The sequence below is a fragment of the Homo sapiens genome, chromosome 11 (genome assembly GCF_000001405.40).
Source record: "Homo sapiens chromosome 11, GRCh38.p14 Primary Assembly".
NCBI lineage: Eukaryota > Metazoa > Chordata > Mammalia > Primates > Hominidae > Homo > Homo sapiens.
In genome coordinates this window covers 112273855-112286748 of record NC_000011.10, presented here as the reverse complement: position 1 = coordinate 112286748, position 12894 = coordinate 112273855, and the positions used below count along the sequence as shown (strand labels likewise).

The 12894-nt window shown below is 46.8% G+C and overlaps 1 long non-coding RNA gene across 1 annotated transcript in view, besides 1 other annotated feature; it reads right to left on the bottom strand.

Annotated features, from left to right (window-relative positions):
* Positions 1 to 12894, bottom strand: part of LINC02762 (long intergenic non-protein coding RNA 2762) — a 91786-nt gene that overhangs the window by 75786 nt on the left and 3106 nt on the right. The window lies entirely within an intron of this gene.
* Positions 6318 to 6407: an enhancer, noted in NCBI's record as "active region_5533". NCBI's record gives its function as "activates an Ori minimal core promoter by ATAC-STARR-seq in GM12878 lymphoblastoid cells {active_cell/tissue: GM12878}" and the evidence as "EXISTENCE:reporter gene assay evidence [ECO:0000049][PMID:35858748]".

Genomic DNA, 12894 nt, shown 5'->3' with positions numbered 1-12894 from the left:
AGACCTCTCCTCTGTGCTCAGAATAACCCCCATACATCACTGGATCCTGGTACTCGCCCTGCTGCATTATAATTATCTAAGTGTGGGTCTGTCTCCCATCCGGGCTGTGAGCTGAACTGAGGTAGGAACTGTGACCCATTTACTGTCATGTCTCCAGCTAACACCATGCCTGGCACAGAGTAAGTGGAATAAATATCTGGGCTAATGGAGTTGCTGGATTACCAGACTACGTGTTCTGACAGGTAGCTGGGAAGATAGGATCATCATAGTTCTAGTCTCTGTGCTGCCGACATTCACAAGCTCTTGGAAGACCTTAGGAATCATCTAGCCCTGTGCACAGGTTCCCACATCCTGAGGTCCCTGCACCAGGAAGGGTGGTCTGCCAGAACTACAAAGGCCGAGGGAACAACTTCTCAGGAAAGCCTTGGCCACAGGCTACTCTCATTTCTGAAGGCTCTGAGCCTATCTCACTGACCATTTAGAACAAATTGTTCATGACTCAACTTCATTATCTTCTACCCCGTATAGGAGCCCCAGCCTCCTCGGCTCTGCATTAGGTCATTGTTATCGCTCCCTTGTGGGCTTGCCATGTCACCTCCACAAGCAGCAGCAAAAATCACTTGCCAGAAAAAATGTCAGAAAAGCAATTAACATGAGCCTGGGTAGCAAGAAAGAAGCAACACATAAGAACAAAGGAGATGGCTCCTCCCTGCAAAGTCTGTGATTGCCTACCAGGGAAGCCAGCTCTGGGAGACCTGGGGATTGGGCTTGAGCCATCAGCCTCTGCCCCTGGTGCTTTATTTCAGAAGCACCAGCATCCCTTTAATCATGCGCAGGAAGCTTGACTGCTGTGGGAGCCCAAAGGGACCACCTGAAGCCTGTGATGAGACGGGCTGCAGCGCAGGAGAAAGACAGAGTCTCTCCCACTGCCTACTGAGGAATGCAGCTGCTCTGCAGCTGAACTTGGAGAGGCAAGAAAGAGAACAGACATTTAGGAAATGAGAGGTGACCCAGTGTCTGAACACTGAAGGTCATGGGGAGATACAAGAGACAGAGAACAGGCTGAGCATGGTGGCTCACGCCTGTAATCCCAGCACTTTGGGAGGTGGGCAGATCACGAGGTCAAGAGATTGAGACCATCCTGGCCAACACAGTGAAACCCCGTCTCTACTAAATATACAAAAATTAGCTAGGCGTGGTGGCACATGCCTTTAATCCCAGCTACTTGGGAGGCTGAGCCAGGAGAATCCCTTGAACCCGGGAAGCAGAGCTTGCAGTGAACTGAGATCGCGCCACTGCACCCCAGCCTGGCGATAGAGCAAGACTCTGTCTCAAAAAAAAAGAGAGAACAAGGAGAGAGGGATAGACAAACAGACACAAACACAAAAGCAGAGACAAAAGTTGACAACTTTAAAAGAATTTTTAAACAGAAGGAGTTTTCACCATTAGTGAGTGAGGGGCCTCCCTGAGAGTGGGGGAGGATTATGAAATCATTACCAGAATGTTCTAGATCTCACCCCTGGAGACCACAAAGTCAGACCACGTTTACATTCAGTTCCCAAATTGTGATCATCTAAGCTCTCACCAGCTGTGGCAGCAGGTCCCGCAGCCTTCTCTGAGAGGCAGCATGGCCTCAGGGACTCAGGAGCCAGCCCTGAAGCGGAATTCCCTCTGCTGCAGCCCCCACCTCAGGCTGCCACTATGGCACCCACAAGCTCACCATCTGCAAGGCACGGCTTTCACCACCACTGCCGCTCTGGCGCCTAAGGAAGACCTGCCCTGACCCCCACTTCTCAGTCCTTACTATGGGATCCATCCTTCCCCGGTGCCACACTTCTCCCTTGAATTTCCTTGAGAATTGGAGGCGGCAGAAGGAACCTGCGTGGGGCCTAGAGCAGCCTAAAGCCCCTGACCCACCTGCCTCGTACCTCATGCCCACCAGCTTCACAGGGCCAGGGGTCAGTCATCTCCCACCATAGAAATAGCTGACACCTTCACGCCCTGGAGCCTGAATCCGAGGGAGATGTGGCTGCCCCTTAGCCTACGGCCCTGGGTCTTGGGGGATGATGCTGGGTTCCTGAGTGACCCTGTGGAATCAATGAGCTCACCTACTCCCCAGACACTGCTAAATGAGGGAGAGAAGTAATCCACAACATTTTTTAAACCACTGTATTCTTGGATGTTTTTCTTACAACAGCTTTGCCTCGCACCCTAACAAATAACAAGAGCAGGCGATTTCCTGGCAGGAGTCACATCTGATTTCAGCTCACAAGACAGCCAGCCCTCCAATCCTGGGGTTCCATATCTGAAGATTTAGCCAACTGCAGATAGAAAATATTCCAAAACAAACCAAAAAATATATATAACAATAAGAAAACACAGGCCAGGCACGGTGGCTCATGCCTGTAATCCCAGCACTTCGGGAGGCCAAGGCAGGTGGATCACCTTGGGGTCGGGAGTTTGAGACCAGCCTGACCAATATAGAGAAACCCTGTCTCTACTAAAAATGCAAAAATTAGCTGGGTGTGGTGGCGCACGTCTGTAATCCCAGCTACTAGGGAGGCTGAGGCAGGAGAATCGCTTGAACCTGGGAGGCGGAGGTTGCGGTGAGCCAAGATCGCACCACTGCACTCCAGCCTGGGCAACAAGAGTGAAACTCTATCTCGAAAAAGAAAAAGAAAATACAAATTAAAAACCCACTAAAAAAGCTATTTACATAGCATTTTACATTGCATCAGGTTTTATAAGTGGTCTGGAGGTGATTTAAAGTATATGAGAGAATTGTAGGTTATATGCAAATACCACACCATTTCATATCAGGGACTTGAGCATCTGTGGATTTTGGTATCTGCAGGCAGGGAGTATGTCCTGGAATCAATCCCCTGTGGACACTGAGGGATGACTATGATGATAATACCCTCTAAGAATCAACTTAATATGAGTTGGTTGTTCCGAGCAGGTACTGGGCACTCCCAGTGAATAAGAAAGTGTCCTCAGGGCCTCCCTCCACATCACCTAGTAGAGACAAATGGGGCCTTTCTCTTTGTTCCAACAGCTTAATCACTTCTTTCTTCCCACTTTTTGCATCCCCCTCCCCTGCCCTTCAAGGCACAACAGCAAATCCAATGAGGGACCAGCCCACACTCAACAGCTACACTAACCAGCTGAGTGACCTTGACACCTGCTTCTCAATCAAGGGCTGGACTAGATCTGTGGCTTTCAATCCCAGCTGTGCATTAGAATTACCAAGGGACCTTTGAAATATTGAAATGCTGAGTCCCTCATCAGACCAACTAAAACCAAATTTCTGTGGGGTGGAGAACCTTTAACTCGGAAACTAAATCCAGTTCCCAGATTAATTTCATCAAATGGTGCTGTTCTGGTCACAATCCAGCTCATGTAGCCTTCGCTGGACTTTGTCTTATTTATAGCCCAACACCTGGGACAGTCACAGGTATCACACATAGTAGATGCTCACTTTTCCTTCTAAGAGGTTGCTGTCATTGTGGATAAAATTCCATGTTTTCTGCATTTGATTTGAGAATACAGGAATGGAACTTTTCTCTAAGAAAGAAAAACAAAAAAAACTAAGTTTGGTCACTTTTTACTCCTGTGGGGTCTTCAAAAGACTTGTGTAGCAGACAGAACATGGGCTTTGGAGTCATTCAGACTGGGTGTGAATTCCAGCTCTGCTCCTCCTTCACCATGTGACTTGGGCAAGTGATATACTGGCTCCCCTTGTAACCAACATGGTCACTTGAATTACAGGTGAATAGCATTTCCTGATTACAAATATGCAATTTGTGCAGCCCAAAGCAGCAGCTGCAGCTGAACCTCAGTGCCTAGTTTTCTTAGCTGTAAAATGAAAGTAGTAATAGTTACAACACAGCTTTCATGCAAAAATATGAACAATGTAAGTAAAATAGTTAGCATAGCCCCTAGCATATATAAATACTCAAGAAATGCTAATTTTCTCCCACTTTTACCCCCAAAGTTTTCTATATCCCCAAACCTATGCATCTGTGTCCTCTGAATGGAAGGCATGTGAGGGACTCCTATTGAGTGGCCACCTGAGATCTCTGCAGGACACTCGCAGATGCAAGGCAGGCTGAGATGGATGTGGTGTGCAGCTTGATCCTGGTAAGGCAGCTACTAACAGCGGTGCAAGTTTTGCATTGCACAACACTGTTGGGCTCCTTTCACATCATGGTCATCACAGGTTTTTCTAGTTCCTACAGCAGTTTTCTAGAAGATGTCAGTGGGGTGTGTGAAAGAAATGGTACCATTTTCCAAATTCAACCAAATTTGCCCTGTTAACCAGCTGTAGGCTGCCATCCCCACTCCCTAGTTCCTCTGCCTTAATATGACATTGGACCTCATCACCCAACCAACCTGTCCACAAAGTAAGTCCTGATGACGCCCCTCTCAGGGGCACACAAGCCATTCTTTGTGCCTCTCCTTGAAACTGATCATACAATGAAAATGAGAAACACAGCAGGACAAATGGAGAAGATGAATCCCACCACAAGATGTCCTGAAACTTCCATGCTGTTGGGAGCTCCTAGCCCCCTTCAATGCAGACCAAATCACCCAGCTCCCAGACAAGGGTTCCAACTCACAGCTGCTACATGTGAGCTCCCAGATGGGATAGCTCTATAATGTGCCGCACCTACATCCCCATTTAAAGGAAACCGCCTGCCCTCATCCCCTGCCACAGGTACTTCCCAGCAGGGCAGTTCTGTTTTATGGCACACTCTCCCCTGCCCAGCTAATTGCAACAGGAAGCAGACTCCCAAACAGCTCATTCATTGGCTGGCTAGAGACTTTTGAAGTGGCCCAGCACCTGAAAAAGGGGAAGGGTGTGTCAATTAGATTTCTATCTCAGAAAGCAAAACTGGAAAATGTCAAGAAAATCAGTCCGTTGGTGGCGGGAGCCAAGGCTGAAATGTCCTGGAGTGCAGCAAGTGGAGAGAGGCTGAAGGGACCACAGTGAGTGAGGGGTAAACCAAAGTTATGAATCAGCAGAAGCTGTGGCGCAGGGAAGAGGCAGGTGCAGAAAACAAGGCAAGGGAGCTGCCAGTGGCGAGCGGAGAATGGAGGACCTGCTCACAGAAGCCAGGTCGCCTTACTGGGGGAGAGCCAGAGCAAAGATCCAGGACTCCTGCTGGAGTGTAACCTCAGATCCAAATGCAGGCTCTGTGGACATTCTTGCTCCCTTGTTGCTCCCTTCTCCTTCCAGCTACCTCCCCAACTTCACTTGTACTGGTGTGTGAAGGCATCTGGTTATTGCCGCTTAAAGAACCCGGCCGGGCACGGTGGCTCACACCTGTAATCCCAGCACTTTGGGAGGGCGAGGCGGGCAGATCGCTTGAGTTCAGGAGTTCCAGACCAGCCTGGGCAACATGGCGAAACCCTATCTCTACAAAAAATGCAAAACAATTACCCAGGTGTGGTGGCACATGCCTGTAGTCCCAGCTATTTTGGGGGCTGAGGTGGGATGATCGCTGGATCCCAGGAGGTCAAGGCTGCAATGAGCCAAGATCATACCACTGCACTCCAGCCTGGATGACAAAGTGAGACCCTGTCTCAAAAAAAAAAAAAAAAAAAAACCACCTCAGTTCAACCATTAGCAAGTAGAGATGGACAGAGAAAGTCACACACACAAAAAAAGCCAATCAATAAGGAAACCACCTAAAAGAAGAACAATTATTTTACAGTTTCTGGGAATAATACTAATTAACATGTGTATAACCATTTGCAAATTTTGGCTTAGGATAATCATGAGAAACATAGAAATTGAATCTGAGTTCTGTCTCACCAGTCACCATTGCAGAATCAGTTCATTTTAGTCAGAAGGCCAGATAGGGGACTTTGCAATCTACAGCTCACCCTGTCACATCTCAGTGGATCTTTTTGAGGTGGGGGAAAAAAAAAAAAAAAAAAAACCTTGAGAAGCGAGGGCCAGGGGAAGGGAGGAAAGCATCTTGAAATAGACCATGGTGGCCACTAGAGGGAGATGCTACCTTGTGAAACATTTCACGGCCCGCTACTTCCAGGGAGAGTTCTCAGCTGAGACCAGAGAACGTGAAGGGACCTGCTCCCCTTCCTCCTCTTTTAGAGACGAGATGAGGCAGCATCCTCTCTGGAACCGAACGGGCTCTCCTCCGCGTTGGTGAAGACAAGGCCATGTTCTACAAAGTTCATGCATAACCCATCGTTCCTGCGGACCAAGGCAACAGGAATGGCCATCGTCTGGAGGGGCCGGCTGAAAGAGAGCCGGAAGAAGAAATGTCTAATGCTGCCCTCAAACATCTGAGAGAATACGGAGAAGGGCCACATTTGCTATGCGCGGCTTCAAATGGCGGAACTAGGACCCATGGCTGAGAGCTACAAGGAGAAACCACTCAGTACAAGAAGGGCTCCTTGGAAACACAGCTGACCAAATTGTGGAGTGGATCCAGCTGACACTGACCATTTTTGGGTGTGGCATAGATGGGCGACCACACTGTGTGGGCAGTTGGTCTCACCGCCTCTAAGACACCTTCCATCTCTGAGAACCTGCAGGAAGGAGAGAAGTGGCCTTGCGACCCCCACCCGCCCCGCCCACGCCGAGTGCTTCTTTGCCGCCCATCCTACCGCGTGCCACCAGGGGGCGCCGCTGCTCTGGAAGACGCCTTACCACTGAGGTTTCAGAGCCAATCCCTGAGAGCCAAGTGCCCACCCTCAACCAAAAGACCACCTGTTAGGTCGAGATAGCACAATGAATCTGGATTGGTTGCACCTCCGCTATTCCAAACACATTGCAATAGTACATAAAGTATAAAAAGAGAAAACCAAAAGATATAGTTCCTGCCCACTGCCGTGGCTCACACCTGTAATCCCAGTGCTTTGGGAAGCCAAGGTGGGAGGATTGCTTGAGGCCAGGAGTTTGAGATCAGCCTAGGCAACATAGCAAAGCCCCGTCTCTACAAAAAAAAAAAAAAAAAAAAAAAAATAGCCAGGTGTGGTGGCAAGCACCTGCAGTCCTAGCTATTTGGGAAGCTGAGGAGGGAGGATCGCTTGAGCCCAAGAGTTCAAGGTTACAGTAAGCTATGATTGTGCCAATGCACTCCAGCCTTGGGACAGAATGAGAACTTGTCTCTAAAAAAAAAAAAAAAGATATAGTTGAGCTGAAAAAAATATGTATGAATATCTCTTTGGATCAGAAAAGGAAGATAAACCCAAAGCAGTGAGCAAGGCTGAAGCTCCAGGACGGCTGCCCAGTGCTACCTGGGGTTACAAATTCCTGGGGAGCCATGGGCCCGGGGAGGGGAAGGACAAAGCCTCCCTTCCAGGAACTGAGACAAGCCACCCACTGTGCTGTCTCCAGTATCTGTTGTCACCAGCCACCTTCATGAGGCGTTTCTAGACCTGGGGTTCAGAGGGACAGGAGGAAGCAACTGCAAAACCTCTAGACAGGTGCAGTTGAACAATCAGAAGAGAAAGAAGAAAAAATCCAAAAGCCTCCCATTCCACATGAGCCTGCAAATCCAAAATTACAAAACACAGGAAGAACCTCATGCTAAGCCTAGCAGCCAGCAGCACCAACACTCTGAACATGAATCAATCCAGACAAAATTAGTATTCAGAAGCAGCATGACATACATGCATACATTGAAGCTGATAAGAGAAAAAGGAAGCATAATGCTGTCATCCACACAGGGTGAATGTCCAAATAGCACATGCCGCTGGCCTGCTGAGGAGCACCCCTTGGGGTCCACTCACAGAGAGGACCAGGAACACGTGTGCAGGTCCCCATGACCCTTTTCTCCTAGGTTAGCACTGTACTGCCTGGGAGGGGAAAAGAAGCAAAAGTTGCTTCCTGGGAGAGTCAGGAAGGGACATTCTACTGATGACACTAGTGGTTTGGGGCCTATCCGGGACTAAAGCAGCCCCTCTCTTGAGCCCCGTGTCCTCAAAGAGAGACTAGTAGATTGAAAAAGTACTGGTTCAAGGAATGTGAAACCTGCTATTAATTGATTTATTACTTTAGACAAGTCACTTTCCTTCTCAGAGCTTCTGTTTCCCCAACAGTAAAATGATGTTAAACAGATCATCCCTAAGATAAGGTTATCTTTGATAACCCAGGTAAGGTTATCATTCTAAAAGAAAGGAATCAGTAACTCATCTCTTTAATTCTTTCATTTTTAATACAAGCCTAGCACCTTTTCTTTTCTAAGTACAGTATTTAATTTCTGGTTGTAATATTAATCTATGTTCATTAGTAAAAGGGAAAAACTCAAAGAAGGAAATAAAAATGACTGCAATGTCACCAGTTAGAGACAACACTGCTAACATTTGCTGTAATTTCCAGTGACCTTTCTTTTACTGTGCTAATATAAATATGAGGGTGCTTTTTTTTTTTTACAGAAATCAGGTAATAATATTCACTGCTAACTGAACATCTACTACCTGTCAGACACAGGACCAAGTGCTATACAAACATCTCACCAATCTTTATAGCAACCTGCAGGGGAGACACAATGTCTCCAATTTACTGAAAAGAAAATTTCTGTGCAACAAAAAGTCAAGCAACCTGCCTGAGGCCACATAACTGTGAGGAACAGAGCAGAATTCCTACCATACCAGCTTCCTGAATGGTCTACATTGTCTTGTGACTTTTTTTTTTTTTTACTTATTTTTAACATGTTCTCATTTTTCAGTTACTTTTCTAACACATTATTATAAGTGGTTCAAGGTATTAATCACATAATCCCTTACTGGCTAGCATTTAAGATGTTTTCAATTTTCACTATCATAGACAATGCTGTGATTATCTTCCTTCCACATAATTCTTTCCACTCAGCAGTAATCATCCTTAAGATAAAAACGTTGAACATCCTGATCAAAGGGTATGCACTTTCTTTTTTTGTTTTTTTATTTTGAGACGGAGTCTCGCTCTGTTGCCCAGGCTGGAGTGCAGTAGCGCGGTCTCGGCTCACTGCAACCTCCGCCTCCCGGGTTCATACCATTCTCCTGCCTCAGCCACCCAAGTAGCTGGGACTACAGACGCCCACCACCGTGCCCGGCTAATTTTTTGAATTTTTAGTAGAAACGAGGTTTCACCATGTTAGCCAGGATGGGTATGCACTTTCTTAAGGCTATTGACAAATAGTGTCAAATTGCCCTCCAAAACACTCAAACAATTATTCTCCCTTTAACAATTTAGGAAAGTTCAATTTGCCTGCAACCTCATTAATGTTGGAAGTGATCTCATTTTTATTCATCTTAGCTGATGTTACAGGTGAAATGTCTTGATTGTTAATGTAGTTAAATTTTGTTCTGAAGTCATCAACCACTTTATGATTCATTTTAATAAGCACCTATATACAAATCCTTGGAAGACAGGAGGAAAATGAAGAAATGGGATCAAAAGGAGAGAATATCAATTTCATTTATTTAACAAAAACCAAATACCTAACATCTGCAAGGCATGTTACAGGCCCTGTAGGCATTCAAATGAGTAAGCACAAGCAACTATTGAGCACCTGCTGTATGCTCCAAGATACCAGACATGCTAAGTGTCATAGGAGAGACAAAAGAAGGTACAACATTTATCCTCCAAGAACCCAAAATCTAGTTGAGAAAGGGAAAAAACCAACACAAGAAGGTGTTTTGAGCCTAATTCCTCTTTATCTGTTCTTTCATGGAACGGAGCTTCCACCTCCTTTTATGGTCTGCTCAGTAAACCTCAAACCATTGTGGCTTGTTCATATACTTCTCTTCCTGGATCACGTGGGAGCTCCAGAGGGCAGAGATGGGCTCTTACTCAGTGGTCAAATGGACACCCTGGAATGATGGACGGACATCCTGGAATGATGGAATGATTTTCCAATTCTTACCTCATGATTGAGGGTTGTAAATTAGCGACAGGTTGCCACATCCCCTAGCCACTCCCTACTGCCCACCCCCTGCAGGGATCAGAAACACAGGGCCAGTACTCAGATACAAGGTCATAGGCATATACATTAAGTTAACATTAACAGCATTCATTTATTGGTTGGATTCAATAACCAGCCACACTCCCTGAAACTGTCAGAGTCTGATAGTTAGGGCATGCACTGCGACCCTTGGTTATGTCAGTACACAGGATGTTTATCTGACTGTTCATTTACATGACTGATTCAAGGGTTTTGGTTTTGTTTGTTTTCTTGTTTGTTTGTTTGCTTGCTTACTCTTTCTCCTCACTTACTGATGTTCACCTCTCCTCCCTGCCCTTCCAGGATCCACAGGTCATAAGATCATCACCCGCCACCTGATCTGATTCCCCTGGCTTAGAAACCTGGCCATTCACACATAAGCTCACCAAGTTCATTTCACTTGCAGTTGTCTTCTCATTTTTCTTTTTTACTTGCTGTGATTTTTCCAGCCCTCTCTCTGGCTCTCTCCCTCTCGCCTTGCTCAGAGAGGTTTTACACCAGCCCCTCCTAGGTCTCCTTTCTCCTTTCTCTAAGGGATGTCTCAACACCACTGACATTTCCTGAGTTTTCCATTTACTAGTCACTGAGGTCTTTTATGTGGACTGCCCAAAGCATCTAGAACCAGCACAGCTCAATAAACATTTGCTTAATTCAAACTCTGACTACTGTGCCACTGATTAGAATTTCAAGAGCTTCAGATTCATGTGCCCTGGAGGAAATGGGAAGGACTGGCTACCAAAGGTAGGATTTAAACCCGACTTAAAATCTAAGTACAATCCCAGTGCTTTAAGAAGCCGAGGCAGGTGCATCCCTTGGGCCCAGAAATTCAAGGCTGCAGTGACCTGTGATTTCACTACTGCACTTCAGGCTTTGAGACAGTGCTACAGAGCAAGACCCTGTCTCAAAGAAAAAAAAAAATTAGAGCTAGCCTAGGTTTATGGGAGGAGGTCATCAATGTCTTTAACTGTGAATAGTTAGAGAAGAAAGGAACTGACATTAGCCCAAATAAGTCATGGTCTTTGCTCCTGGGCAACATATGGAGACCCCATCTTTACAAAAAAAAATAAATAATAATAATAATAATACATAAGGTCGGTATGCAGGATGTCCATCTGCCCATTCATTTACATGACTGATTCAATCTCAATCTGAATGATAATGGGAGCAGAAAGGACTTCATCCCATCACCCCTTTCCTTCCTTTTCCCCTCTACTCACTTCTGAGGAGCCATCAGTAAGACAGAGAAAAAGACAGAGAAAAGAGATAAACTGTTCACAAAATAGTGTTGAAGGTGCCAGGAGAGGTAGTCATTGCTGTGTGTCTTGTTCACGGTCTACACCAAAGATACTGAAGGGCCTGAGCTCCCTGGGCACACATGGACCTCCCAGGATGATCCTCCCCTTCAGAACTGCAGTAGGACCTAGAAAGGCCAGCAGATATGAAAGATGAAGAGGACTGCGTAAGAGGAAGGGAGACCAGAGCAAGACAGCCCCCCAGAGGTGTGACCAAGAAGGAGTAGAAATATTCCAAGAAAGTGAAGAAATATTTCCCCCATCCTCTGGATGCTGTGTGCATCGGCTAATAATCAGTCTCTTACCGGAATGAACTGGACCTGCATACCCTCCTGTAAGCCACCAATGTCACCAAGGGTCCCAGTGTGCATTATAACTGTCATTGACCAGACAGACCCTGTACTAGGTGTTGTACCTACATTACCTCAGTGAATGCCACCTAACACTATGTGCCCAAGACCACGAAGACTTCCAGCCAGGGAGCTCAAACTCGAGGGCACATAAGAATCACCTTGGAGCTGGTTAAAATGACACAAAAAGTTATGGCTCCTAAATCTGGAGTGGGGTCCAGGAAAATGCATTTTAAATAAGCATCTTGTGGGGCCTTCAGCATCTGCATCACTGTCACAGGTTGCTTATTAAAAATGCATGTTCCTGGCTGGGTGTGGTGGCTCATGCCTGTAATCCCAGAACTTTGGGAGGCCAAGGCAGGTGGGTCAGTTAAGCCCAGGAGTTCAAGACCAGCCTGGGCAACATGATGAAATCCCATCTCTACAAAAAATACAAAAACTGGCCAGGTGTGGTGGTGCATGCCTATAGTCCCAGCTATAGGGAGGTTGAGGCAGGAGGATCACCTGAATCCGGGGAGGTCGAGGATGCAGTGAGCTGTGATTGCATCACCGCACTCCATCCTGAGCCATAGAGTGTAACCTTATCTCAAAAAAAAAAAAATGCATGTTCCTGGACCCCCCCACCTCTGACCTACAGATCCAGAACCTGTACGCTCCAGCCCAGCCCTAATAGGCTAGTGGCTTCCCTTTGGACCCTTGGGACCAGCCAGTCTAGTCACACCACAACCATTGTCCTCAGAGAAAGCCCGTCTCACCATTTGTCCTCCACAGAACATTCCTCCAACCTCCTCCTCCCGTTCTCACTATTCTCTCCATCGCAAACCTTCCCTCTCTGCCACTTAAAACTTCCACTGCTGAGTGAGCTCCCCTACATCTTCCACTCATTCCTTTCCCTTATGAGCTTAGATGAAACCACCAGGGGAAAAATGGCAGACATGAGCTGCAATGATGGCCACCACCCCAACTCAGGGGAGCTCAGTCATCTTAGGCAGCAGGCAGCTGCAGTGATAATGGCTGCCCCCACCCCCCTGGAAACTCTTAGCAGAGTTAACAGAACAGAGCTGTTAACAAAGCTGTGCAGAGTTAACTTAACAGAGCTGTGCAGATTCTCAGCAGCCACTTGACTGGGGTCTTAGGCAGTCTCCAGTCAAGTGGCTGCTGAGAATCTGCACAGCTCTGTGCTTGGGACCCAAGGCCCTGGTAGTGTAGCTCAAAAGTGGGATCTCCTGATCTGTGGGTTGCGCAGATCCGTGGAAAAAGTACGGTTTTCTAGCAGGGTAGCATGATCACTAA